General features: G+C 39.3%; 1 protein-coding gene and 1 long non-coding RNA gene across 2 annotated transcripts, besides 1 other annotated feature; one reads left to right on the forward strand and one right to left on the reverse strand.

The window, feature by feature from the left end:
* Positions 1-235: 235 nt before the first annotated feature.
* Positions 236-18,409, reverse strand: LOC107985635 (uncharacterized). The gene is made up of 3 exons (XR_001755986.2): positions 18,337-18,409; positions 15,291-15,361; positions 236-3,586 (listed from the first exon to the last, which is right to left on the reverse strand). It is a non-coding gene; the product is annotated as an uncharacterized LOC107985635 (long non-coding RNA).
* Positions 16,374-16,875: an enhancer, noted in NCBI's record as "NANOG hESC enhancer chrX:82759704-82760205 (GRCh37/hg19 assembly coordinates)". NCBI's record gives its function as "activates a minimal SCP1, AML or CMV promoter by ChIP-STARR-seq in naive H9 embryonic stem cells {active_cell/tissue: H9 hESC(naive)}" and the evidence as "EXISTENCE:reporter gene assay evidence [ECO:0000049][PMID:30033119]".
* POU3F4 (POU class 3 homeobox 4) lies at positions 19,968-23,805 on the forward strand. Its single transcript, NM_000307.5, has one exon. It carries the CDS (start codon positions 20,003-20,005, stop codon positions 21,086-21,088), a length of 1,086 nt encoding a protein of 361 aa, NP_000298.3. The 5' UTR covers positions 19,968-20,002; the 3' UTR covers positions 21,089-23,805.
* The last annotated feature ends 3,447 nt before the right edge of the window (positions 23,806-27,252 follow it).

Raw genomic sequence — 27,252 nt, forward strand, 5'->3', positions numbered from 1 at the left:
TTAATAATGTGAGTTATATAAATAGGCGTCAGAAGACTGAAAAGGCTGTTGCAAACACTGTGGTAACAAGAGAGCAACTGCAGAAACAGATACCGCCCCTAGACCTAGAGAGACAAAGGAGATAGATTAGAGTTATCAGAACCTAGAAGCTTGGAGAAAAAGACTTGAGAAATCCTCTCTGAGAGGATGCTGCCTGACTAGTGATGGTATTCAGGAGCTTGGAAGGGGATCTCATGGATCAGGGACTCAGACCTCTGAAAATAGGCCACAGGTAATACCTCCAGTTTGTGTTAATACCTCCAAGTATTTATAATGGGGTTGGATCTGGGAGTGTCAGGGAATGCTGGACATTGGAACCAACTGCTATTGAAACCAAATGCCACTGCTGGGGTGAAGAGCCATTGCTGGAGTGAAACAGGGAGCAAGGAAGAAAGAACAAATTCCTTCCCCCTCATCTCCAACCGGAAAATCTCTTCCTAAGGCCCACTATTGAAGAAATATAATGCAGAACCAAGTTGCAAAGAAAAAATGTGCTATGCTGAGCTTCACCTCAGTCCCACGGAGCAGAGAATAGAAGGGTAAATTTAGAGCAGAAAGACAATAGCTTAATAACTGCTGCAAAAGTAAAAGCTAAAATGATTGTATTTTATTTCAACTTTTACTATAATAACAGTTCCAATAATTTCAGCAACACTTATTTCTTGCTTACATGACATGAAGGTTGCGGGTTGATTGCAGTTCTACACAGCTGTGCTTAGCTTCACATGTCTTCTTATTCTTAGCCCCAGGTTAAGCACCAGCCCCATTCGAGTTATGTTCTTCCTCAGACAGGGGACATACAGGTGCAAAAGAATCTAAACCAATCTACAAGATGGCAGTTAAATCCTTTGTTCAAACATGGCACACACTATATTCATTCACATGATATCACCCAAACCATGTTCCATTTCAAATGATCAAGTCATTGATGCAGAAAGTATAGCCCTCCCACAGCTACTGGCGGGTGGAAAGGGATGCACAAGCAAGTCATATGACAATGTTCTGGGTTGTATAATCCTATTGCACAGGAGTAGTGAATAGATGAAAAAATCTAATATTTCATACATATGAAGCAAATAGATAAAACTTATTATTTTAAGTTATATGTTTGTGTTCCTGGAAAATCCAACAAAATCTATATATAAAATATTAAAATTAATTAAAGAACTTGGCAGGTTGAGGGAAACTAAACAACCAATTGCAAAATCGATCATATCTCTATAAAATAGCAACAAATGTTTATAAAGTGATATTTGTAAAAGGGTGCCCTATACAAAACATGACAAAATAATGAACAAGATTTCTATGGAGAGATATAAAACTTCATTAACAGAGAGAGAGAGAGAGAGAGAGAGAGATGTCATGTTTATGGATTGGAAGACCCCGTATGGTCAAAAAATGAATAAATTCAATGAAATCTCCATTAATATCTCAATGGGCTTTTCTCTAAATTGACAAGATTATCTTAACATTTATATGGAAACACAAAAGTCTAAAAGTAGAAAAGATATTCTTGGAGAAAAAAACAAATTTTAGCAAATTTATTTAGGAAATTATAAAATTATAGTAATAAAAACTATGGTCTGGGCACGGTGGCTCATGCCTGTAATCTTAGAACTTTGGGAAGAGGAGGCTGGAAGATAGCTTGAGCTGGAAGATAGCTTGAGTTTAGGAGTTTAAGATCAGCCTGGGCAATACAGCAGAACCTCACCTCTACAAAAAAATACAATTAGCCAGGCATGGTAGTATGCGCCTGTAGTCCAAGCCACTCAGGAGGCAGAGGTGGGGGGAATCTCTTGAGCTCAGGAGGCTGAGGTTACAATGAGCCATGATCGCGCCACTGCACTCCAGCCTGGGTAACACAGCAAGACCCTTTCTCAGGAAAAAAAAAAAAAAAAGAATATGGCAATTGCACAGATTTATATATAGACCAAATGAGAGATAATTGAAAACCTTGAAACAGACAAATGCATGTAGGATCCCTTGATTTATACAACATTAACAAAGTAGATCAGTCTTTTCAATAAATAATGGTGAAACAAGTTGCCCATATAGGTAAAAATAAAATTGGAGCCCTACATCACATGGTCACAAAAATTAATCCAGGTAGATTATAGACCTGTGTTTGAAACACAAAACAACAAAGCTTTCAGATAATAAAATAATATATTATCAGCCAGGCACGGTGGTTTATTCCTGTAATCCCAGCACTTTGGGAGGCCAAAGTGCTTGAGCCTGGGAGGTTGAGGATGCAATGAGCCTAATCATGGCCCTGCATTCCAGCCTGGGTGACAGAGCAAAGCTCTGTCTCAAAAAACAAATATATTTATGCTCTCAGGACAAGAAAATATTTCTTAATTTCATAAGAAGCACTAACTATAAGGGGAAAAATGAATAAATTTGACTTTTTAAATTAAGAATTTATTTTCATTTAAAGAACTATTAAGAAATGTAAAAGGTAAGTCACAGGATGAAAGAATATAGTTGAAAAAATATAACCAACAAAGGGATCCTTCTAAGGACACAGAAAGCATTACTACAAAGATGTAATATGAAAAAGTAAGACAACCCAATATATGTGCAAATGACAGCAGGAATGTCATAAAAAAGGAAAGATAAAATGAAACAATGAGAAATCTCATATTCTGAATGAGTGTGGAATAAAAGGCTGTTAATTGATACGATCAATCATTTTGGAAAAAAATTTGGAGTAATCTAGCAAAATTGGAGATACCTTACAACACAACATTCCAATGTTAGATCTATATGCCTTACAGAAATATAAGTTATGTGTAAAAGACCCATGTGCAAAAATGCTCATAGCAGCATTCCTTAGAGCAAAAACTAGAAGCAACATAAATATCCATCAACAATACAAAGGGATAAATAAATTATAGTGTATTCACGCAATGAAATACTATGCAGAAGTGTTAATGAACTACAACTAATGCTACAATGTGGGTGACACACACTCATATTATATTGATCAAAATCAGCCAGTTATAAAATAGCACATACTGTATGATTTCATTTGAATAACATTCAAAAATAGGCAAAACTGAACTGTTATTTCAGAACACGGGTGGAAAAACTACAAAGCGAACCATGGAAGTCAGAAGAGGGTTACTCTTAGTGGAGGAGAGGGCTACATTTAAGAAAATGTACACAGGTGTTGAGAGTGTTTTATTTCTTTCCCTAAGGAATTACATGGGGGTTGCTTTACAATCATTTCCAAGTTGTACTTTCAGTTTTTTATATATGGTATGTGGGTTATAATTAGCAATACAAATGTAAAGATAAGTTCTCTGATTAGTCAAAATACATTTTTTGAAGCCTTTAGTCAAAAGGATTGGTTTGAATCTGAGTTGTAAAACCTTGAGCACATCTCTTACCTTTTCTGTGCCTTCATTTTCCCACCTGTAAACTGAGGATAATTATATCTATTCACTCCAAAGTGTCAAATGTTCAGTCCAAAGTGTTAAATATGAATGCACACTGTAGACTGTAAAGCACAATGTAGATAGGCTGCTGTTATTGTTTTCTGAGCCTACAGCAGGTTAGAGAAAAAGGGGAAAGAAAATGAGGTCGAGGTTACTACAGGCAGGTATATTCACAGCATCTTTTAACTATGACAGTTGAACTTAAAAAGAAAAAAAACTGGAAAATCAGATAAAGATCTGAAAATGCACAGCTTAGAACAATTTTAGAAATGGGACAAACACAGCTCTTAATAAATTAGCAGGCCAAGGTCATTGACACATGAGAGAAGAGCAAAGACATGAGAATTTCTTGTGATTACCCAGGACCATTAAGAAACATATCAGTTATGTTCACTATAGCTCACTGAAAGAACGAGAGAATGCAATATAAATGTTTCAATCCAAATTGATAAATTTTTAAAGGCTTTTGTGGGCCATTTAGAGGTAAAATTTTTATCTGTCAAATACACATTTACACAGAAAAAGTTATAGCAATAAAAATAATTCCTTCCCTTTTGCTGAAATATCTGCCATGTGTCATGCACAGATCTAAAAGCTATTCAGATTTTTAAAATTTAATTATTAAGATAAACCAGCAAGCTATATTATTTTGTTATCTCCATCTCACAAATTAAAAAAAAAAAACTGAGGTTTAGAGAGTTTTAATGATTTTCTCTTACATTGAAGGAGGAGTAGAGATGAAATTTGAACCCAAATATGATTCATTCCAAATCTTGGACTTCTTCTATCATAAAAGCTCCTGTTTACTACTTAAAAATAATAGATAACGTAGTGGAGCAGGTATTTATATGGTCAGTCACATATCCATTCATTTTACTTTACACAACAATTTAATCACATAAGTTTTTATTAATCATCTTAAAGGCTTCACTTCTTAAACCATTGATTCTTTCACCACTTGTAGATAATGTCATATCATTTTAGTTCATCCACACAAGGCATTTTTTCTGAGTAATTTAGAATCTCAGTTCATCATCTCCATCAGTATCTCAATTAGCCCTTATATGTACTTGTATATATTTCCAGTTTTTGCTAAAACAATTTAAAATTCTATTGGGGTAAAGTTTTAAATTGCTTTTAAAAATACATTTGAGATATTTGGACTACATAATTATCTCACAATTTGAACTTTATTTAGTAAATACTGCTACTTTAAAATAGTGAATAAAAAATAATTTATTTTTTGATGAAACCTAAATTTGTCATTTAAAACATCTCTAAAGACAAAACCTTGAAATTCATTTTCAACAATTTATAATCGGTTAATTAGCATATCTTAGTCTTAGAATAATTTTAGTAAATGTCTTTTAGAGCATCTGAGTACTTAATATCTTAAAAGTCATCTAGTCTAATCATGATTCACCCACTTCTATTTCTATACATGCTTTATAAACCTCCTGCTCTAGTACCTTGACTGGAGGAGATAATGATTCTAGTACATGTAATTTTTATTGCTATCTCTATAATATTTTTACTGCACAACGTCATTGCTGATTAGCAATACAAAATTATAGTTCTGCAATTTTGGCATATTATTGCTTTAAGTAAGAGCTAGCCATTGGCAGTGAACAACTAAATCTCAACAAGGGGGAAATGATAGATTCTACAAAATATAGACCAATTAATGCCCCCCAAAATTCTCAAATTTATTATTAAAAACTTTTGTAAGAACCTAAAAATATCCAAGGATGTTCATTAGAAGCCATTATAGATTCACTAAAAACAAGTCATGTTGAACCAGCCCCATTTCTTTGTCTTATAAAATTCAGGTGGAACTGGTACAGATGTGGCGGCCTTTTAACAATCATTCAAAATTTTATGTTAAGGTCCTGGACTGTATAATCATCTAAAGCAGGGGTACCCAGCCACTGGGCTGGGGACCAGTACTGGTCTGTGCCCTCTTAGGAATCAGGTGGCACAGGAAGAGATGAGCAGCGGGCAAGAGAGGATGGCCACCTGAGCTCCACCTCCTGTCAGATCAGCAGGGGCATTAGATTCTCATAGAAGTGCAAACTCTATTGTGAACTGTACGTGCAAGGGAATCTAGGTTGCACACTCCTTATGAGAATGTAACTAATGCCCGATGATTTGAGGTGGAACTGTTTCATCCTGAAACTGTCCCCAGCACCTGTCTGTGGAAAAATTGTCTTCCTTGAAACTGGTCCCTGGTGCCAAAAAGGTTGGGGATCACTGATCTAAAGTTTCTTTTGACTTTCAAAATCCCATGGGTTTCACGTGGTAAAAATAAAGATACATTTTTGCTGGATGCTAAGGTATTTATAATTTGATATACAAGTTTGTAAACCTGACCAAAATCTCAAGTGGTAAAACTTTGACTCTCTCTTTTGCCTTATGCTTTTCAATATTATTTTCAATGTGGACCAAGATATAGAAGAGTCTTTAATTTGCACATGACACAATCATAGGGATAGCTAATGTGTGAGATTTAAAAAAAAAAATAAGATGTGTGTGTGTGTGTGTGTGTGTCCGTAGACTGAAACTAAGTACCAAAAAAGGTAATAAAACATTTTACAAATATATTTGTGTTCAAATATAAATTACACTGTATTCATAATATTTGAAAAGTCAACAAAAAGGAATGTTTATGTAAATTATGTTACACTTTTAATATGAAATAACATGATATCTTTAAAAAATATTAATAGTAAGAGTTTGCAATGACATAGGGAAATCATGTAATATAATGTCACGTTGAAAAAGAAAACACATGAAATTGCTTATAAAGCAGTATCACAATCATATTTATAGATATTTAAAACCAAAGAAAATAATACAGGGAAAATTACCAAAATGATAAATGTGAATGGTGGGATTGTTATTTTCTACATCAGTATTGGAATCACATTCCCAGTCTTGGCATAGGTAACAAGACCCCTCCCCCAATCCCACCAGCTTAAGAAGACTGTGATTCCAGAGGGAACTCAACAGGTCAAAGACAAAAGTTGAAATGTTTGGAAAAGCTCCACAAGGTTTCCTATATTAGGGAGAAAGATTTGCACCAGAGATGGTTAGATTCCAGAAGAACTGCCAGAAAACAAAGCAAGAAAACAGTATTTTGGGGTGAAGAAGAGGGTGATCATGATGGCAACTGAATGGTAATAGGGGCACTAGTAAAAATAACTTAGGAGTAGGGCAGCAGGGGCTGTTCTCATACATGGTTGTTCAAAAACCCCACGTTGGGAAGAACATGAAGAGTGGATTTGACATTTATTCATTTATTTTGGAGAGGAATTGATATTTAAATAAAAAGTAAGAAAAACTCTCAAATTCTCTCAACAAAATAATGGAACAAGTTTTTTTTTACAATTATTAACACTAATTGAGCATTTCTATATGTCAGGCACTATGATGAACTATTTTATGCGTTATGTCATTTAATTCTCATAACAATTCCATGAGGTAGGGTCTAATGTTACCCTCATTTTCCTAAAGGGAAGTCAGAGTCTCAGAGATGACATGAGATTTAAGGTCATTTAGTCAATAGCAGGGCTCAGCTGACTCAGTTAACCATTATAGTACTCTGTAAAGGCTTTCACATTTAGGCCCGAAGGTTTGTGACAAATAGCATAATAGTTTAGTACACATCAAAATGTTTGCTGGTAAGAAAGGAGTTTCTTTAAATTTCTTTTTGAAATAAACCAAAAATGAGAATATTTATCTTTTTAAAAATCATTTTGTTTATAGATTTGTTGGACATTCCTGCTTTCAGCAGCACCTACCACTATAGGTCTCATTGATTATACATATGTATTAACCAAGGATGGAATCTAGTTCACTTTACAAGCTCTGCAGTTGCTCGCACTGAGAACTAAGGAATTATTTGGCTTTCTCCCATGATTGTTATCTCCCAGTTTGAGGAAACTACAATCAGTCAATTGGTAAAATATTAAAAAGAAACTTTCTACACTCAATACTGTCTAAAAATCATTTTATTCCTTCTATGTCCCTCAATTTTTCACAAAGTATTTTACTGTAAACAAATTTGGGGGCCACTCTGTGATTATTCCCACTTGGAAAAATATACTGTTTTCTCTTCATTGAAACTAGAACAGAAGGTCTAAAAGAAAGAAAATTATTAAGCATTCTACTGAGTTTCCCCCCCTCCACCCCAACAAAAACTAAGATAGAGGTCAATGAATAAGTATGTGCAGACTGGAACTTGAATCCTCTAGGGTGACTGTAGGCTAATTAATAATTAATGCCAGAGCCACGGTGTTTGAAATGCAGATGTGATAACTAGAGGCCTGGCAGAGCTGTTCAGAGGAAGCAGATTTAGATGCTATAGGGAATAGGCACTCCCTTGCCGGCTGGCTCAGAGAGCCAGCCTGGGTGCAAAGCAGGGCCTATGGTTTAGATTATATTCCCCTCAGCTGTTAATTACCTGAACCTACTTTGAAGTTCTTCTCTTTTTATCCTTGCATGAAAAGAGATTGGTTCAGCCAAGGGACTTGAAGAGATGATCAAATACATGGGGTGGAGGGAAGAGGGGTGGGAATAGAACTTCAGATATAAGAAGATAACGAAGAAAAACACATAGTAGAACATGCAAGAACATACATTATTAGGAAATATCGAATTGTGGCTCATTGTCTCAAGCACATTATTTCTCTCAGTTTTTCTAGTTAAGTTGATTTTAAGTAAATTGTAAACTTTCTCTGAATAGTTATAACAACAAATTTCCATCATTGTTACTATATAGAGATTTGATAAGAGACTACCACAGGTGCTTTGTAATGCTATTTTTAACTTAATAAAGTCATTTAACACTCTTTATATTTAAAGCCAAGCAGTGATAAGGATAAAAATTAATAGACTCAGCCTCAAAATGCTTCTATGTACCTTGTTTGTGTTCAAATAATTCATTCTCAGAACACAAATAGTAAGTGCTATTATTCAATGGGAGAAGCTACAGGATATTAGAAAACTGTGGAAATAAAATGCAGTGGAAAAAATATGAAAATATATTGTGGGGGGTAGCTGCATTAAAAAGCACCCTAATTTTTTTTCAGAATGTTTGTGTGTGTATGCACAAAATTTAAAGAAGCATGTCTGTTAACTACCTTGCAAATGGATTACAGCATACCTGGATTAAATGTAAATGCTGACATTTTTTGTCTCTTTGTGCTTTATTTTTTTTAAATGTTATTTTTAGCTATTTTAGGTAGGGATTATCCCTGAGACACATGCTACTCACACATGAACACTGTTCGCTCTTTTAGTGGGAGAGCATGCACTCATGAAATAGCTAACTTTCAATTGTATCTCTGTATCTTTTTGATAGGATAATAGTACTAATATTGCCATCAAGGAAAAATGTGTACCTATATTGAAATTGACACCTATAAGTGCAATATCATCTGACTAAGGTGACATCAAACGCATACAAGCAAATGAGTGACACAACACATAGACCTCCCGTGTTCAGCGTAGACACAACACATAGACCTCCATGCAGTGATTTTGTTGGGGGGGGGTCCTAATTTATTTACAGTTCATTTCTGTTTAAAAGAATACTTTTATGAGCAGAATTGTTACATTTTTTCAGAATAAAAAGCTAGAAACTTGCTCATTTGAATCTATTATTCAAAATGACAAATTCCAAAAAAATAAAAAATAAATAAAATAAAATGTAGGACTGTATTATTGCACAATTTAAATTTCCTTAGGCAGAACAACAACAATATGACTAAAAGTCTTCTATCAAAGGCAAAACACATTGGGAATTTGTACAATTTATGTGTAACACAGCTCTTCCAGTTGTGGTTTTCATTTTAAGAATATATACACATTAACAATAAGATTGTGCAAAACTAAAACAAAAAAAAATCTCCAAGCAATTTCATCTGTAACTTGTACTGACATAAAGCAGGAGGGCAAAATCACAGAAAACAGAGTCTACTTCCATGCTGATTTTATCATCAATCAGGTATCTCTGCAGTATTATATTGTCGGAGTCCAGAGTGCTAATGAAAATGTGGCATTTTCTCAAAGCTTTACATATAAACTTTGTATGTCGAGTCCCCTCTAATAAGAAAATGAGGGAGAGAGAAGTGTTTGAAAACTGTGAGCAGTAAGCCAGAGGTAAAATATGAAAAATCACCGGCTTATATCAGCACCTAAGATGTTCATGGCCATAGCCCTTTCTTCAATGGGCATTCATAGTTGTTCACGTGTTTTGGGTAACTATTTTAACACACAAACATAGAACAAAACACACTTATTACAATGCAACAGCAGTTATCTTTCAAAGTTGAGGTCTGAACTTTTGAATTACACTTCCTCAATACCAAATTAAGCTACATTGGAGAATGATTACATTCCGATTTCATTTATATGTGCTTTTATTTTTGTTTTTGTTATATTAAACAATATGCTAACAAATAAATGTATTCATGTATATTTTTCCACTTCTATATTTTTCACATTCTATTCCTTTGGCCAATTCAATTTAAGCAAAAAGATATCTGAAATTATGACATCTAGCTAACTTTCAGTGCAAAAAAGTGCCAGCTTAGAGACATATGAAGAGCAGAGATATAAATTATAAAACAGCACAATGGTGTCACCAAGAATATTAGGTTAAACTTTCTACTTTATTTCAACTTGGCTGTTTTACATCCCCCATTTTTCTCATTTCCACATGACTGTCTCTTCTACTAACAGTTGTATATTTTGCAAGGACTTATTCAATTTCTTAAAGTACATTTTAAAAGTTTTAATATAATCTAGTGGCACAGGCTTGTATTAATCTCAAGGGATTAATATATTTTTTAAGTAATGAAAAAAAAATCTGCATATCAAACAATATTTAAGCCATGGAATCTGAAGGCCATAATTTATATATTTTTCTTATGAATTTGGAACAACTAAAGCATTCTTCTCTATGTCACATATATTTTAAATATTTTTCTCCTATTGCTATATGTTTGCCACAGTTCAGTTTCGATTATGTGTTTATATTATGAAAATGCTTGTGACTACAGGCTCCTACATATCTGTACAATATTTTGCTTCTGTCTACTGCAATCTAAAATGTGGCTATATTTTCTAGTTTGTTTTGTGTCCTTTTCACCTGCGGCTACAGAGAAACTGAAATGAAGTTCTCAGCTCTTTATTAGTAAAAGCATCAGAAAAGTAAATAGATCATAACATAAATGTTTTTCTGCCTCCAGTATGAGTGATGTATGTTGCATGAGCTATGCACCGCAAAGCGGAGGAAGAGTTCTTTACCCTGCAAAAGGAAAAGTAAAGCATTGAAAAAGGATTTTAATGAAATTATAACATTAGAATACTTTATATTAAATCTCACTAATTTTCTAGGTGAAGGCGGTGAAGTGAATGTGAGGAAACATTAAAAGGGAATTGAATTTGCATTCCTTATGCTACAGGCACATGTTTACATGACCTTTAAAACAGAATTAAAGCTGTATCATCAGCAGCTGTAGGCAATTCACATTACTAAGGCAATCAAATCAGAATGCTAAACTAACTATAAAACATAAATTAAACTGATAGAGAATCATCTTAATTCACTAGGTTTACTTGCAATCTACTTATACTCTACTAGTCATTTCAAAGCAGTTTGTGGATCCACCAAATGAGAAATACTGCAACATATCTAAAAATAGAGTGTCCAACTATACAAATGTAAGCTAAAACACTTTAACATATCTTTTTAACATACTTCCATGAATCATCTGAGTTAGCTTACTTCATGAACATTATTTACCTTCAACAATCACCTACAAAAGTAAGCATTATTCCATAAAGACATAATACTCTTGATATGCTATACATAGCAGATATAATTTTTATTTCAAATGAGCACTTGGAAGAGTTAATAATGAATGTGTAAAGGCTAGTAAAAATTAACTGAACATATTTTTATTCCAAACTTCATTGTATTATTCCTCAATATCCTTCATACCTTAACAATAAATATATTCTGGTTTCCTTTCATAGCATGGTACAGATAGTCCTCCTTTTAAAATGTGGTAGGATGGAATATTAAATAGAATTTAAAATTCAATTGTGTGGGATGAGACTTATTCTAATGACATAAAATGAGAAGTGTAAATATATTTATAACGCAAGTTATCATCTCACAAAAACTGTTTTAAGAAAGCTTGACTTTTTTTCCATTTGTAGTAAATTTTAGGAAAACAAACATATTCTATGTTTCCCAAAGTGTTTCTGTTTGCATGTTGTAACTTAATTTCCTCCTCTGTAAAAAAAATTTCTAAGACCCCTTGATGCTACTGAAAACATACAGAATATGTTTGAAAATGCAATTCTTCTACTCCAAGGGATGAATAAAAGTAGGGGGGACTCAAATGCATCTTTCCATCACTAATGTGGGTGTCTGTATAGGACAATCTCGGTTCTTTACAAAACTGTCAACTAGCTGTTAAAAGAAAACCAATCCTCCACAACTCTAAGATTCTGCTTAGCTGAGCTGAGATCCACACTCAAGAGTTGAGATCATTATTGAATGCAATTTATATTCAAATAGGTTTGTTCTCCAATATGCAAAGGTCCAACCCTGTAAATTCACACCCACTGCCCCTCACCACATGCGCAAACATGTGAGTTATCCATTTGTTTAAGAGAGGTGGTAACATACCTAATGTTTACATCAAGCACCTGGAAAAAAAATATTGTATTTAAAGGTTAAGATGAGAGCAGATGTGATTGAACTATTGTTTATTGGCAAACAAGAATTCCAATCTCTCCCCAAAAGTAGAAATACTAAGAAGAAGATAGGTGAGGAAAAGCAAAAGCCTCATTCTCACTATTATTTGAATAAGTTAAAAGAAATATTTAGGATGTACCAAAGACATCTGAGTATTGATATTTAGATTGCCCTAAATGTCTTTCCTTAGAAGCCTAAGGTTTTCTTGCCCCTTCAATTGTTGAAAACATGAAACTTCTTATTTTTGAAGAGGAATAGGCAGATTTAAATTCCTCCCTTAATGTTATCTAAGTTAACACCTTATTGCCGGAACAAAATATTTTAGGGCAACTGTCACTTTAACACACCAGGGGAATAATAGGGGTGCTAGTCCTGAGCATATCCCCCGAGGGGGGGTGTCACTGCTGCAGAGCTGTGGTGACACACATCATTTGTTGGGGAAGGAGATGGGCCTTGTCTCCTGAGAAAGCACTACCTTGAGCCCTTTACATAGGTGCAGGTTTAGAGAGCAGGACAACTGGCTTGGTAGTGTTCAAGGGGCAAAAAGAACCTTCGACCTAGGAGGGGCTCGCCTGGCGGAGCAGCAGAGGCTGCCCAGGGACTAGGATATTCCTTTGGCCAGGCCGAAAAGGCCCAGGGCTCTCCAAAAGAACAGCAGGTGGCGACTATTGTCGGGGTGGGGGGCCGGGAGCTCTAGGCTAATACAGACACTTTGGTGTCTTGCTTCTAGATCCTTGCCCCCTCCCTCCGCCTCCAACAGAGGGAAAGTGACCTTGCCACCAATCCTTCAGATCGTGCTTCAAATAGAAGAGAGGCTGGGGAGGTTTAGGGGGCAATGAAGTCCTGAAGGCTGTCAAAATAAGCCCCTCTAGCCAGCTGCCCTGTGTCGCAATAGAATCCATTTGGCCTAAAGAATTGCCACCCGCGGAGTTATCTTAAAACAATATATCTCAGTAGAATGCTCCTGATCCCCACCACAACACCTCTATTCAGTGTATGTCCAGGAGGCTAAGGTCAGGTCCACCGTTCCGAAACATCTGGACATTTTAGCCAAGCTCTCCAGAAGGCGAGGGATCCTGTTGCTGCCCAAATCGCGCCCCCTCCTGCCGATGCCTTGTCTGATGTTTTGGGGAAGCTCCTTGATTCTTTATGGCTTTGCATCTCGGCAGAATGGAGCTAGCTGACTTGGGTTAGCGGCAACACCAGAACGGGAGCGAGCTGGCTGGGGGAGTCACAACCACCTGAGCCGGGAGCAGAATCACCAAGGGCAAAGCACTGGTCAGGGGCTAGGTTCTGCTGTCTACCTGAGCTCTTGTACTTGGAAAAGAGATTCCAAAAAGTTATTGGATATTAAATGTGTGTGTGCACGCACAACACCCACGATGGCCTGACTGATGTATTCACAGGCAGCTGGAAACCGGAATACCCGACCGAAGGGAACTCTTCTCGGGGCAGGGGAGCTAAATCGATTCCTCAAATCCATAGTGAGGCAAAGTGCAAGAGATGTCGGTCCAAAGAAAAGTTACAGAAAAGGGAAATTTTAAGACCACTCAGGAAACTCACACCCCTCCCCCAGAAGAACTAACACAACAGCAATCACAACAGAGGAAGCATTAATATTCTTGTTAAAAATGCGTTCCCCAAATGTCCTTGCAAATTGGACTTTTCCCCAAACTCTCTCTCTCTCTCTCTCTCTGTGTGTGTGTGTGTGTGTGTGTGTGTGTGTGTGTGTGTATACATTTTGTTGGGTGGGGGGCCACAATCCCCCCATACATACACACACATACACACACACTACACATTATTTTCATAATCATCAGCAGCCCCTTCTCTACTCTTTCCTCCTGGAAAATAATGATAATAGTAATTGAAATTTCTGAAAAATGACAGCAGGTTAAATCTGGTCGGTTGCTCATTTTCAAAGTGATAAACTTACATTCTTGTTCTTTGTGGAGCCCTGAAATGGTAATGTGAGCTCCAGACACTGAGCAGATTACTTACTAAAAGTCATTTCCAGAAGGATCCCATAATCAATCTATAATCAAGCTTCCTGTTGTCCCATAACCACAAAGGGACGTGGAACGCACGCCGTTTCAGACAAATAAATACCATTTACTAAGGGGCGGGGAGACAGGGTGGCAGGGAACACAGGACCTCAGTTAGGAATGAAGCCTAAGCATTCTTACAATTTTGCACATTAAAACCTTAATCCATCCATGAAGAAGGAAGTGATTTGCAATTTGGGGAGGCTCTATTAACTACTATAGTGACTTAAGAAAAGCTTCTAATGTTCAGCCAGAAGACTTATTGATGACTGGAATACCGATGCGCGCAGGGTTTAAAGTAAGAGATTTCTACCCGCCCTCTGATCAATCGCGCAGCTATGACTATTTTTTTTTTCGTTTTTAAATACCTCTACCACTTCTTACTTTCAAAAAAATAATTAAAATGAAAATCAAAAGTACCATTGCATTTTAAATTTGGAAGCATTCTGCGGCTTATTTTTTTTTTTGATAAAAGTGTAATTCCACGTGTGTTATATATTTTGTAAAACCATCCGCTGGGTTCCTCGACTCTAGGCTTGGTCTGCAGTGCAAAACTGCACAATGATTCCTAAACACCCCAAATCCTGGTGCCAGGAAAATGATAGCTATGCTGAGTATGACACAATAGCTCTGTCTCTGTAAAGCTCTTTTCTCTGGGATACTGTAAAATTAGGGTTCACCCACCGACATTGCAACGGCAAAAATGTGATCCCTAAAGAGAAACTGAGACTGGACGGACACGACCTGGCCAACGCAGTTATAGGAGCAAGCATCCTTTCCCTTGGTAGTGAGGGTCTCTATTGTCCCAGCCTGTCCTCTAACCATCCTGTCAGAGGCCCCTGCCACACAATGCCTCAGCACTTCTCCCGAGCATTCAATTTTGCTAGCAAATGACTAGTGGTTCTCACAGATTGGGGTATTTGTATTAGATTTTACATGAGGAGTATTTTAAGTTTCCCTGTTTCTGCTGCAGCATTCACTGTGTGTACTCACCCCCTCCCCTCTTCCTCTTTCCTTTTTCTCTGAAGATTCTTTTTCTTACGTTCAGGAAAGCCAATAGAGACCTGAAAAAAAAAATGAACTAATTGAGCTTGAGCTCAATTGGTTCATGCCTATGAACTATTTTGCCATGTCCTACCATCAGTATTGGCAATGTCTCCTAATGTCATCTAAATTCTTTTTTAAAAATTTTCCCCAGAATATTAGGAGCCCCTTACCTCCCCCCCATCCCATACAGCTTTTGAAAAAGAAAAAAGGAGAAGAAGAAAGAAGGCGACTATAAGAGGAGCTGCAGTGGGCTAGTGCTCTGAAGGACAGCTGAGTCTCACACCGAGAACAGTCTTATGAGATCAATATGCAGAAACCAGGAAAACAGCTTTTTTTCCCTGCTGCTTTGAGAAGTCTGTTCAATTGTTTCCTTCCCTTATGAGCTCCCGGTGTTAAAAAGAAAATGTACATTTGTCCCTACCAAGCTCAATCTAACTTGTTCTGTTTCCAAAGTGAACTTGGGTTGAAGGTGAAGTTTTCATCTTGAGATAATGCCTATGTTCCATGTCCTGCCATTTGGAGCTTCATGCTATATTGCACACAATCAAATCTGGCCTTTTGAACTTATTTCCTGAACCCCCTCCACCCCCCACCGCTACTCCCTGTCCTGACCCCCTGCCAGCTTCAGCCCCAAACCACCTTCCTCTCCCCACCCTCAATTTGTACACATAATGAGAATGCTTCATAATCTACACTCACATATGAAATCTGCAAGAGACACAATCCCCATGGCTGGGGTACTTTCCAAAGGAGCCAGGACGCAGGCTACCCAGCTGCGGCCGTGCTCAGATGTTTCCACAGGAACACAACCTGAACCACATTAATCTGCTTAATTTCTTTTGTGAATCTTTCCTTGCTTAGAAAGAAAGGGGAGTGGGTATCTGTGAAGACGTTCAGGAGCTGGTATCCCTAAATCTTGTGAGGAAGAAAATCCACTGCAAACTCTGAAGTTACAAATAAATGAACATATATAAATAAAGCCAATCTGACTTTCTTTTAAAAATGATCTGAATTGCCCTCTTAGAAACAAAGCAAGGGGAAAGGGTAAGGTGGGGTGTGTAATTGGAGTGTGAGGGCAACTTAACAAGGAATAAAAATTGTGCCAGGTTCTTGCCTGGCACAGGAATTGAAACCTGTGCTGCTTTGCTGAAGATAGGTGGGGATTCGCTACAATTACAGTTTGTCTACTTCAAAGCTGGGCTCCTCTCTAGGGCGACTTTTAACTGCCCCTACCCGGTAGGTTCCACAGCTATTGTTATATTATTCAAACCAAAGCTCTAGAGGGGGTGGGGAGAAGCAGATCTGAGGACCGGGTTTGGGCTTCAAGATCAGGATGTGGAGCACATCAAGTGTGTATGTAGCCCAGCTGCATGAGAGAGCAAGCTTGCCAGTGGTAACTTCGAGTTTAAGGCAAAATGCAGTCTATGAAAAATTAGTTACCAGCTCTTTGCAACAGTAGCTTCGTATCAACTTATTTTTCTCCCATGTCCAGACGGGTCGTCTATTGAATGTGGCTCTTTTATTTTGCATGGGGCAGGGGATTTGTGACCATGGTCCCCCCTTTTATTCCTCTCTCTATGGAAACCCAGATCATGGGGAGAAATATGTGAAGCTGAATAAAGAGAAGCTGCAGAAAGGAGCGCTTGAGAGCGGCATCTGTTACACTTGGGAAGTTAAACTGACAGGAGAGGGCGAAGGAAACCTCTCCAGCAGATTAGTTAGAACAGCAAGAAGATTTGACTATATGCAGATATTTTATTCAAAAAACAAAACACCTTACATGCAAGAGAAGATTCTATCACAGTTACTAGAGGATGTGATTGGACCTGAATTCAATAGGCAGTATCTATATTCATGGAAACATTTTTTTTAAATAAAAGAAAGAAGGAAAGAGAAAGAAAGAAAGGAAGAAAGAAAGATGGAAAGAAAGAAAAAAAGAAAGAAAGAAAAAGAGGAGAGAGAAAAGAAAAATAAAGGCGATAACGACAGTTTGTGCTCCTGACGAAAGCTATTATTTCCATTAAAAAGAGAGTTTTTACATTAAAAAACTGCAAAGTAAGGGTGTAAAAAACCTGTCCCTGGGATCAGATCTCCCTCCTTACCTCTCCCCCTCCAAGCCTCTGGCAAATGGTCTGAACCACTTGATGCGGCTGGCAAAATAGGGTACCAGGAGCAGAGGCCATGGGCAAGAGGAAGGTTGATTGTAAGAACTCAGGCAAGTCAAGATTGAAAAAAGATCCCCTTCTTGATGCAAAAGTCTTATCATTTCATAATTACCTTAACCCCCTGAATGGCTTAAGATTAGCAACTCTCGCCCAAAGGCAGCTGCAAGGTGGGGGTGGGGAACCTACAACAACAAAAACAGCATGGCAATGATCATGATCGTTTTACACGTAAGGTTTCTTCAACGCGTTTCCCTCTGACCTCTAAATTGAGCCGACACAGACTCACAAATGGATCTTCCAAAGGCCAGCTTAACAGAGCACCTAAAAACTTTACTTTTGTTTGATTTTGACAAGTTCTTGTTTCTTCCAGAAGCGGAATTTCAGGCACAAATGAGATTGCATTCTTGCAAAGGAAGATGCAAACAGTTAGCAGTAAAGAATGAGTTCCTTAGCAGAAAAGGTGGGGAGTTGGGGGGGGCGGGAGAGAGAGAAAGAGAGAGAGAGAAAGGAAAACTCAATTTCTAAAAGCAGATAAGCCTCTACAATAAGACGTGGGCAAATGAAGCTACAGTTTCAATGAGAGAGCAGGAAGAGGGGGTGAGATGGCAAATGATCCTCTCTGCCAATAATTACTAAGTGTTTACCTTAAAAAAAAAGAGTGAAAAAAAGAAATAGATCTGAATCAGATGCCAGGTTTTCATGCCTAATAAACACGTTTACACTTACCAATATCAGCTCCTATTGCTCTGTGCTCTCATAAGAAATTACTCATTTCACAGGAAATAGATGCTCTTTAGCTATATAAAGGAATGGCAGAATAAGCTCACCTTGTTTTTATTTTTTTCTCATTTTCTTGCACATTCTTCAGATCTGTCTTCTTAGAGAAACTAATGCCTTAATGACTTTCTGGTAGCAGCAAGCCTTCTTTTATTTCTGCTAAATATATGAAAATGTATGCAAATTTAAATCAAGCTTAACCTAGGCGCTCTTGCAATATATTTAATGGAATTTCAAACCAATAAGGGAACTCTGATGCCGTCTTCTGTAAGTGCAAATATAATTAGGCAGCTAGGTTACCTCCAAAATTATTCAACGAAAGGTCATTTTTTTAACTTCAAAGACCATGTTGGGTATCTGGTGTTGCCTTTTCTCAGCTAGAACAAATCAAATCTTTGCCTTTCTCCCCACTCTGCTTCCAAGCACTGCCTTTGCGCCGGGCTGTGGAGCACACGGACTTGTCCTTTCCTAACTTATAAAAGCTTAGAAGGAGCACAAGTGTTTCACCTCTTTTATTCTATCCAAAATGTAAAAGCAGTCCTATCTTTTCAAGCTGAAAGCAAATTCAAGCTTGATGGGGACTGGGGAAGTGGGGGCGGTACTTGATGCCAAACATCCCGCCATTTCTCTCTCTCTGAATTTCCTGGGCACATTAAATGCAGGGCGGGTGAGGAGGGTGGGGGAGCGGTGAAGGTTAAAAACAATTTTCCTAGGGGATGGCATCGGGGCGCGGGGTCACGAACGTTTTCCTGTATACCTATTCGTAGTGGGTCTGCAGAGTGTTTTGGGTGAGTGTGAGGGCTGCCCGCTTCAGCAAGCAGAACCTTTGACAGAAGTTGTGGGATCTGTGATGGGAACTGATATGGAGCAGTGAGAAAGCAAGGTTTCCAATTGACCAGCTAGATTGGGAAGCAAACTTCGAAATAACTGAATATTGTCAGTATCACATTAGATTTTACTTTCCCAGAATAATTCAGTTCTTCGTGACCTAAAAAATTTTTCAGAAAAATTGAAAGAACAGGATATCTCTTAGAAGCTTTCAGACCTTGATATCGAGGTTCTTAATACAATGAAATAAACTGAAATGTTCTTATTGGAATCATTGGTTTCAACTTTATTGGTTTAGGGTCCAATCGAAGACGTTACTTTGCTCAAAGTTTGTAGCGACGTTTTGTTTTGCAGTCCTAGGCACACAACTAGCCCGCCCAGACAGCCGAGTGAGTCTGAAAAATCCCTATTCACTGAGATCAAAATGACATTTAAACTTGCTTTACTTTTTCTTTATTTAGATTAATCTAAATAATCAAAAAGGAGTTCTACAACCTTAATTTTCCACCTCACTCCCTGACTGCCCCCCAACAACACATCCCTCACATCTTTTCCCCATCAACATAAACCCCGCGGTGGGGGGGGTAGTAATCAAATGTACGGCCGCCACTCTGCGCTAGGCAGCCAATGGAGCTGAAAGATTGATTCACTTCCTGCTTGGGTCTCATTGAAACTCCGGAGCTTCACCAGCCTAATTTGGAAAGCGAGCCCGACCTCCCGCACCGCTATTGGCCGGGCTTACTCCTGGCCAGGCGGAGACGCGCTGCGATTGGCCGTGGTGGGTGCCGGTAACCCGTGCTAGCGTCTTTGGCTCCCCGCACCGTAGATGTCAAAGGCTGAAGCTGCTCCCTTTGCCACATTATAACTAGTAGGGGATCCTCACCGACCATGGCCACAGCTGCCTCGAATCCCTACAGCATTCTCAGTTCCACCTCCCTAGTCCATGCGGACTCTGCGGGCATGCAGCAGGGGAGTCCTTTCCGCAACCCTCAGAAACTTCTCCAAAGTGATTACTTGCAGGGAGTTCCCAGCAATGGGCATCCCCTCGGGCATCACTGGGTGACCAGTCTGAGCGACGGGGGCCCATGGTCCTCCACACTGGCCACCAGCCCCCTGGACCAGCAGGACGTGAAGCCCGGGCGCGAAGACCTGCAACTGGGTGCGATCATCCATCACCGCTCGCCACACGTAGCCCACCACTCACCGCACACTAACCACCCCAACGCCTGGGGGGCCAGCCCGGCACCGAACCCGTCTATCACGTCAAGCGGCCAACCCCTCAACGTGTACTCGCAGCCTGGCTTCACCGTGAGCGGCATGCTGGAACACGGGGGACTCACCCCACCTCCAGCTGCCGCCTCTGCACAGAGCCTGCACCCGGTGCTCCGAGAGCCCCCGGATCACGGCGAACTGGGCTCGCACCATTGCCAGGATCACTCCGACGAGGAGACGCCAACCTCTGATGAGTTGGAACAGTTCGCCAAACAATTCAAACAAAGAAGAATCAAGTTGGGCTTCACGCAGGCCGACGTGGGGTTGGCGCTGGGCACACTGTATGGTAACGTGTTCTCGCAGACCACCATCTGCAGGTTCGAGGCCTTGCAGCTGAGCTTCAAAAATATGTGCAAGCTGAAGCCCCTGCTGAACAAGTGGCTGGAGGAGGCGGATTCGTCCACAGGGAGCCCGACCAGCATTGACAAGATCGCTGCACAGGGCCGCAAGCGCAAGAAGCGGACCTCCATCGAGGTGAGTGTCAAGGGCGTACTGGAGACGCATTTCCTCAAGTGTCCCAAGCCTGCCGCGCAGGAGATCTCCTCGCTGGCAGACAGCCTCCAGTTGGAGAAGGAAGTGGTGCGTGTCTGGTTCTGTAATCGAAGACAAAAAGAGAAAAGAATGACTCCGCCAGGGGATCAGCAGCCGCATGAGGTTTATTCGCACACCGTGAAAACAGACACATCTTGCCATGATCTCTGACTGGAGGAAGCGAGGAGGCGGCCGGCCGCACTGGGAGCAGCGCGGATTTCTCTTTCTCTCTCACTCTCTTCCTTTCATTCTAGTATTCTTTATTATTTTTCTCTCTCTCTCGTTCGCTCGCTCTCTCGTACTCTCTCTCTTTTCCCTCCTTTCCTTTTTCTTTCCTTTCCCCTTTTTCTTTCCCTTCTTTTTCCCTTTCCTTTCCTTTCATTTTCTTTCCTTTCCCCTTCCCTTCCCTTCCCTTCCATCTCTTCCTTTCCTTTCCTTTCTTTTCTTTTGCTTTCCTTTCCTTTTTTTCCCTTTTCTTTCCTTTTCATAAGAGGTTCTAACTTCTGTTGACAAAGGAAACACATACTCTCTCATTCAGGCTTCTCAATGCTGATACACAGTTACATTAAGCAGTCCAAGCTGGGATCTCATATTCCTGGCTCCCCGGGCAACAGTTCCCTTTAGCCTTTTCTGCTGATCAATACATATTGTTTACTCAGAGTAAGGTTTGTTTGGTCGCTCCTCTCTAGGAAGAACAAGGAGTGGGATAACGTGGGGGCGGGGTGGGGCGGGGGAGGGATTGGGAAGACAGATGTGTGCCTCTGAATAACCTTTCAGCGCCTTGGTTATAGCAGCTGTATTTCAGGTGAAATTTGTTTTACAATAGACTAGTTTTGCATTTTTAAAAACTTCTATAGCGTTTCTAAATGTCTGCGGTGTTTTACTACAATCTGTACACAATATTTGTGAGATAATTTGTATCTAATCGACCACTCCATGTTATTATTGCTATTATTATTACTACTTCGTTGAGCTGATGGCTTTTTAATTGCTTAGAAAAGGGAGGAGATGAATGGGAATAGGCGGGGAGAGAGATGCCTATCTACTCACCGCCCCCCCCCTTCCCAAATCTCTATGAGGAGGAGAGGATACAACGAAGAGAGTTATTGATGATGATATTGGTTATATTTTTTTTCCGGGGTGGAGTGCCTAGGAAGGGCAGAATAGGGAAGCCTATTAGGTTTGCAAACTAGTGCGAAGTAGCAGCGGCGATTTCGCAGCTTTCTGCCCTCCCTCCTGGAAGTGTGGAGCCCGCGCAGGCTACCGCAGCATAGATCGAGGTATCTGAGAAGGATTCGGCGGCAACTCTGGGCCAAAGAGGTGGCCTGACAGTCTGGGAGGGCTCCGCACTCACCGGACTCCAGGATTCCTGCGCGCAGAAATCCAGGCCCCCAGCCTCGCTAGGGCGACCTTCCGCGCGACCTCACTTCGGCCCTCCTAGAGGAAAGACTTTGCCTTCACACGCGATTACTTTCACTGGAGATCACGACCCGGAGACGCTGGCGACTGGGCCAGCGCCTCCCATTTCGGTTCACCTCCAGTTCACCGCCCCCTCTGAGTAAGAAACCCTTGGGGAGGGGTGGCGAGGGAGTGGGGGATAGGCATTCTCTGCTCAGTGCAGAACGGCAATGAAATGATTGGCAAAGGTCACAGGGATTCTGGTCCATCCGCGTACCACCTCTCCCCCCATGTATATACCGCTGTCTGTGTGTGGGCTCGTGGGGAGCTGTCTCGGCGTTTCTGATAAGCACAGCTGGTGGAAGCCCACAGCGACGATCCAGCGAGCTAGCGAGCGCCCGGGAGGCTGGGTTCCTGCTTTTTAAAATATAAATATATATATATTTTTAAATCTCTGTGTGTATGTGTCTCTGTGCGTGTGTGTGTGTGCGTGCGCGTGCAAACGTGTGTGTGTAGATAGCTGTGTGTATCGCGTTACTATGTACAAAAACAAAAAGTACAAAAAAAAAAAAAAACCTGGCTAGGCTGTGTAGAGATCCCAAAAATATGCAGTTGCTGTGGCTTTATTGCTAGCTAGTATCCACACACCAGGTCCACAGGCGAACCTCATTCCCAAGGAGCACACACGTGTGAGGCCGGCCAAGCACCCAACACCCAGCCGCCGCCGGCCAGACCTGGCTGGGGGCGCTGCACGCCACTGCTGGCCGCCTAGTCCGGCCTTTAGGCGCAGCTGCTGTAGACAAAGCTTCAAACTACCTAAGGACCAGAAAGCCCGGCCCGGTTGTCGAGGATGCGTTAGTATGAGTTGCCAGGCCTCTGGTCCACCACACTGTGTCTCCCTCAGCTGCAGGTCGAAGAGCATGTGTTAATTCAAATCCCGGACCCTTCTACTTTTTTGTCAAGTCTCTGCATTCTGTTGGTAGTTAGGTTTTAGTTCTGGGATTTTATTTTTTTTTCCCCCACACTGAGTTCATGTTTTACAACTGTTGGGAGTTTTTTGTTTGTTTCGATTTTTTTTCTTTGCAGTTAATTGCTATGGTTCGAACCTGAGTTAACCCAAATATTTCTGCCGACTTTATAACTGTACAGTTTTGTATATTAAACGTTTTTGAAGTTATTAATTTAAAGAAAGATCATTTAGTTTATTCATTTAGTAACTGATGTATAATAAACGCTATTTTCATTAAGAGTTGCTTTTTCAACTATTTTATTCAAATTGCCTATTGCAGTTGCCAACAATTATTTATTTTCAATAAATTCTGCATTGTGTTTAAAAGGAAATTCTTTCACAGATAAGTTGGATGTCAAAAAGAAAACAATTCGCTGTAATGTTTGATGTGAAGTTTTAGTCAAGGGGTTTATATTGACGCAATATTTTATTGTTGTAAAAGATTAAAAAGGTTTAAATAAAACATTTTTCCAAAAAAAAAGTTTTCTTCTCCTGGTCTTATTGTGTGCTGTGTGAGGTGGAGCGTTTAAACAGAGGCACATTCCGGGTGAACAGCACTTCTGCTTTGCTTCAGCTTATAAATCATTAGTCATTGTTTTGACTCTTGATTCCCTTCCTCTGACTTTCGGCCTTTCAGCTCAGCTCTGAAATACACTGGCGCACACGGCACGGCCTATTCTGGAGCCCACGCTCACGCAAAGCACAGCACAAATTGTGGGAACCCGCATAGGGAAGGCTCGAGGTGGGTTTTATTTTAGGAGGTGCAACCTTACTAATGTTCTCCAAAAAGAGAGTCTCTCTCTCTCGCTCGCTCGCTCTCGCTTTCTCTCTCTCTCTCTGCCAGCAGATAGACCTTTCTCCAAACCTGCCTCTCCTGAAACTGAGCTCAGATCTTCTATAAGGCTGTCATTTCGCCTCACTGCACCCATCCTTCTTCTTCCTCTCCATTCTGTTAGGTTCCCTTTTGGTACCTGATCCCTCATTCCCCTGAGGAGGGATGGGAGGATGATAATAGGTAAGGAGAAGCACTCTCCCTCTTAAGGCTCTTCCTAGGCCCAGAAACGCAGGTAAACTGTTTATCCCAACAATGCTGAACTCTGTCCATTCCTATCTGAGTATGGGGGGAAGGAAAACATAATACAAGGAGATATTTTGGGGGTGGGAGTTTGATTACACTCTTCTTCCCACTCCCATACACAATTTCATTTGTTTTATTTTATTTCACAAGACCCTCCATAAAATAAGTGACTGTTACCTTTAGTGATAGTTGAGGAGTAAATTACCAAATCTGAACCAGTTCTGTTTTAATGTTTTGTATGTACAGGCATGCCTTATTCAACTTTTTTTGGTAGATGCATATGAAGCAATGAACAGGACATTCAATAATTTCCCAGCAGTAAACCCCCCTCAATTCATAGTCTGAAGTAGGTGTTTTTGTTAGAGGACCCAAAATGATTTAATCATTTGAATAGGTAATGATTACAGCATATGATGTCTTGTATTTTTCAAAGTGCCTAATAATTTACAGCTCCATGGTGCATCACACACGATTGTTGTGTATGAAATACGGCACATGCTGTGTGTATAGTCATGGGCATATCACTCTTTATAAATAATATTTATTCTATACAGGTATATGTACAGGCACAAAACTCAAAGTTTTAAGCCTCTTGGTTCTCTTTCAGTTCATACCAACTAACTTGCTTCTCTTTCAATATACTATAAAAATTAGAATTGGTTAAAAAGTTATAGCTTTTCTCACAAAACTGCACAAATATCAACTTTCAATGTATCCTGAACTCTTTAATGGAACCTTTTGTAGATATTTTAGGAGATACAAAAATATATATACACATTTATCACTATCATCAGTACTTTTATTAATATACATTACTCATATTTTTATATGTATTTTCAGATTTGTTTTCTTTACTGCTCCTTTTCTTTCTCCTGAAATATAATCAAGTCCTAACTGGTTTTTCTGATCAACATTTTTGCAACATGAACATATTTTCACTAAAAATCGGGAGATGTTGGTGTTTCTGCCTGGGGCTTCCTTTATCTTGAGTTGCTGCTAATCCTGCTTCAAACCAAGGCCTTTGTAAAAAAAAAAAAAAAAAGTGGCTTTGTCTTCAGTTTTTCTCAGGCCTTCACAACAGTAGCTCTCTTTCTCATGAAATAAGAATTGGTAGGTTCCAAAGAACAACAACAGTAAATCATATCTAATGGGTAAAAGCAAAAAAGTTCCCTCTCCTTCACCAGATCAGAACAATAGAAAATGCAGAGGTTGTGGAGGGAGGTAGGATGTGAAAAGAGTGAATATACAGGTGTTACAGATGTGTAAACAAAGTCAAATATGCAAATCAACTATATATTTGCATATAAACATACCTTGGTTGTCTAAATGGCTGTGGCTCTCTGCATGCATAACAAAAGGGAAATAGATTACAAAAATCAAGCATTTATATTTTGGACAATAAAATAAGAAAATGAATGTTATCCCTGGAAATTTGTTTCTTACCTTTAAAAGAAAAGGGTAAGGGGAAATATGCTTAAATTAGTATAGGAAGTGTGCTTCTCTTTAATAAAATCAAAGACTATTCCCTTGGAAGTATTTAGCATTCCCATATTTCTCTTGCTCCCAAATCAGGCTGCTGTTGTGTTAATTGTCTGTAGGCTAAAAGTAGAAATATACATTTCTGGTTTTATTTAAAAAAAAATTTTTGGCGGTGGGGGAAGTGGGGAGGAGAAGAAAGAGGAGAATGGAGAAGTAGAAAATGGTTACAGGTTAAACAGTTCAGTTTTCCAAAGAGAATAACGTATTTTCCCACCTGTCAGATATTGTTAAAGACACATATGGAACTTCAGAATTGTGGAAATTTTTTCTGTGACTAAGTACTTAAAAATCCAAACATGTGACCCTTTCAAAAAAAGTCTTGAAAGGAATAAAAAGTAACAATGCAGCACAGTGCCATTAGAATTGATGTCACTCACACTCATCCATTCTGTAAAATAAAAGAGTAGACATTCTTTATACATGCCCCTGATAGCAGTTTTAAAATAGTAATCCCCCAGCTTATTCACCTACTGATATTGGTTTTTAAAGCATTAAGAACAGTGAATATAAAATATATTTGAAACCAATTAAGGCTTTTTTCTAACATAAAAGTATCTTTTCTTAAGAGCACTGCTGGTGCAGCATTTCCCAAACTAGGGGATTAGTTAAAAGAATACAGTCTTGAAAACAAAATTTAGTTAATTTCTGCAATCTCTAAGAAGGGGTAGAAACAAGAATCTAGACTACTGTTCCTGTAAACCAAATCCACAAAATTAAACATTTGTGCATTCCAGTAAAAAATGCATTGCCTTACTATGCTTTCTTTCATCAACATGAGAATGGAACTACACCTATTCACACTTCACACATTATTTAATTAACTAGATAGAAGACTGGATTCTCTTTACAACACTATTTGTTATCAGGAGCATTTGGTATAAGGTTCATCTTATATGGCTTCCAAGGCGGGTGTTTATTCAACTACCAAAAGGGCCTTATTATGAAGTGCACTCATCCTTGAAGGGAGGGAATCTCAGGACAGCTTGCTTTCGGCTGAAATTCTACAGTATTTAATACAAGTATATTGTGTAGACACATACCCACAGTCATAAATGCATTCCTTTTCCTTCCCCTCAAACCCTACCACCCCACCCCTGCACTTGCACACAGACACTATGATTTAACAAAAAGCAGACTGTCCCTCAGAGACCAAAAAGGAAGAGATCAACTCATTGACCAATTTATTAAGTTTGTCTTTTCATCTGTCTTCCTAGTCAAGCTGTGTCCACACCATTCTGGTGCAGTCAACTGAAAAGAGAAAAAAATCTCTCTGTCAAACTCTGTTTTATCTATGTAATGTCTCAAACCTAG

Source organism: Homo sapiens, chromosome X (genome assembly GCF_000001405.40).
Source record: "Homo sapiens chromosome X, GRCh38.p14 Primary Assembly".
Classification (NCBI taxonomy): Eukaryota; Metazoa; Chordata; class Mammalia; order Primates; family Hominidae; genus Homo; species Homo sapiens.

What these genes read in the sequence shown, in the direction of transcription:
- POU3F4 (NM_000307.5), top strand. Translation starts at nt 20,003, where the DNA reads ATGGCCACAGCTGCCTCGAATCCCTACAGCATTCTCAGTTCCACCTCC.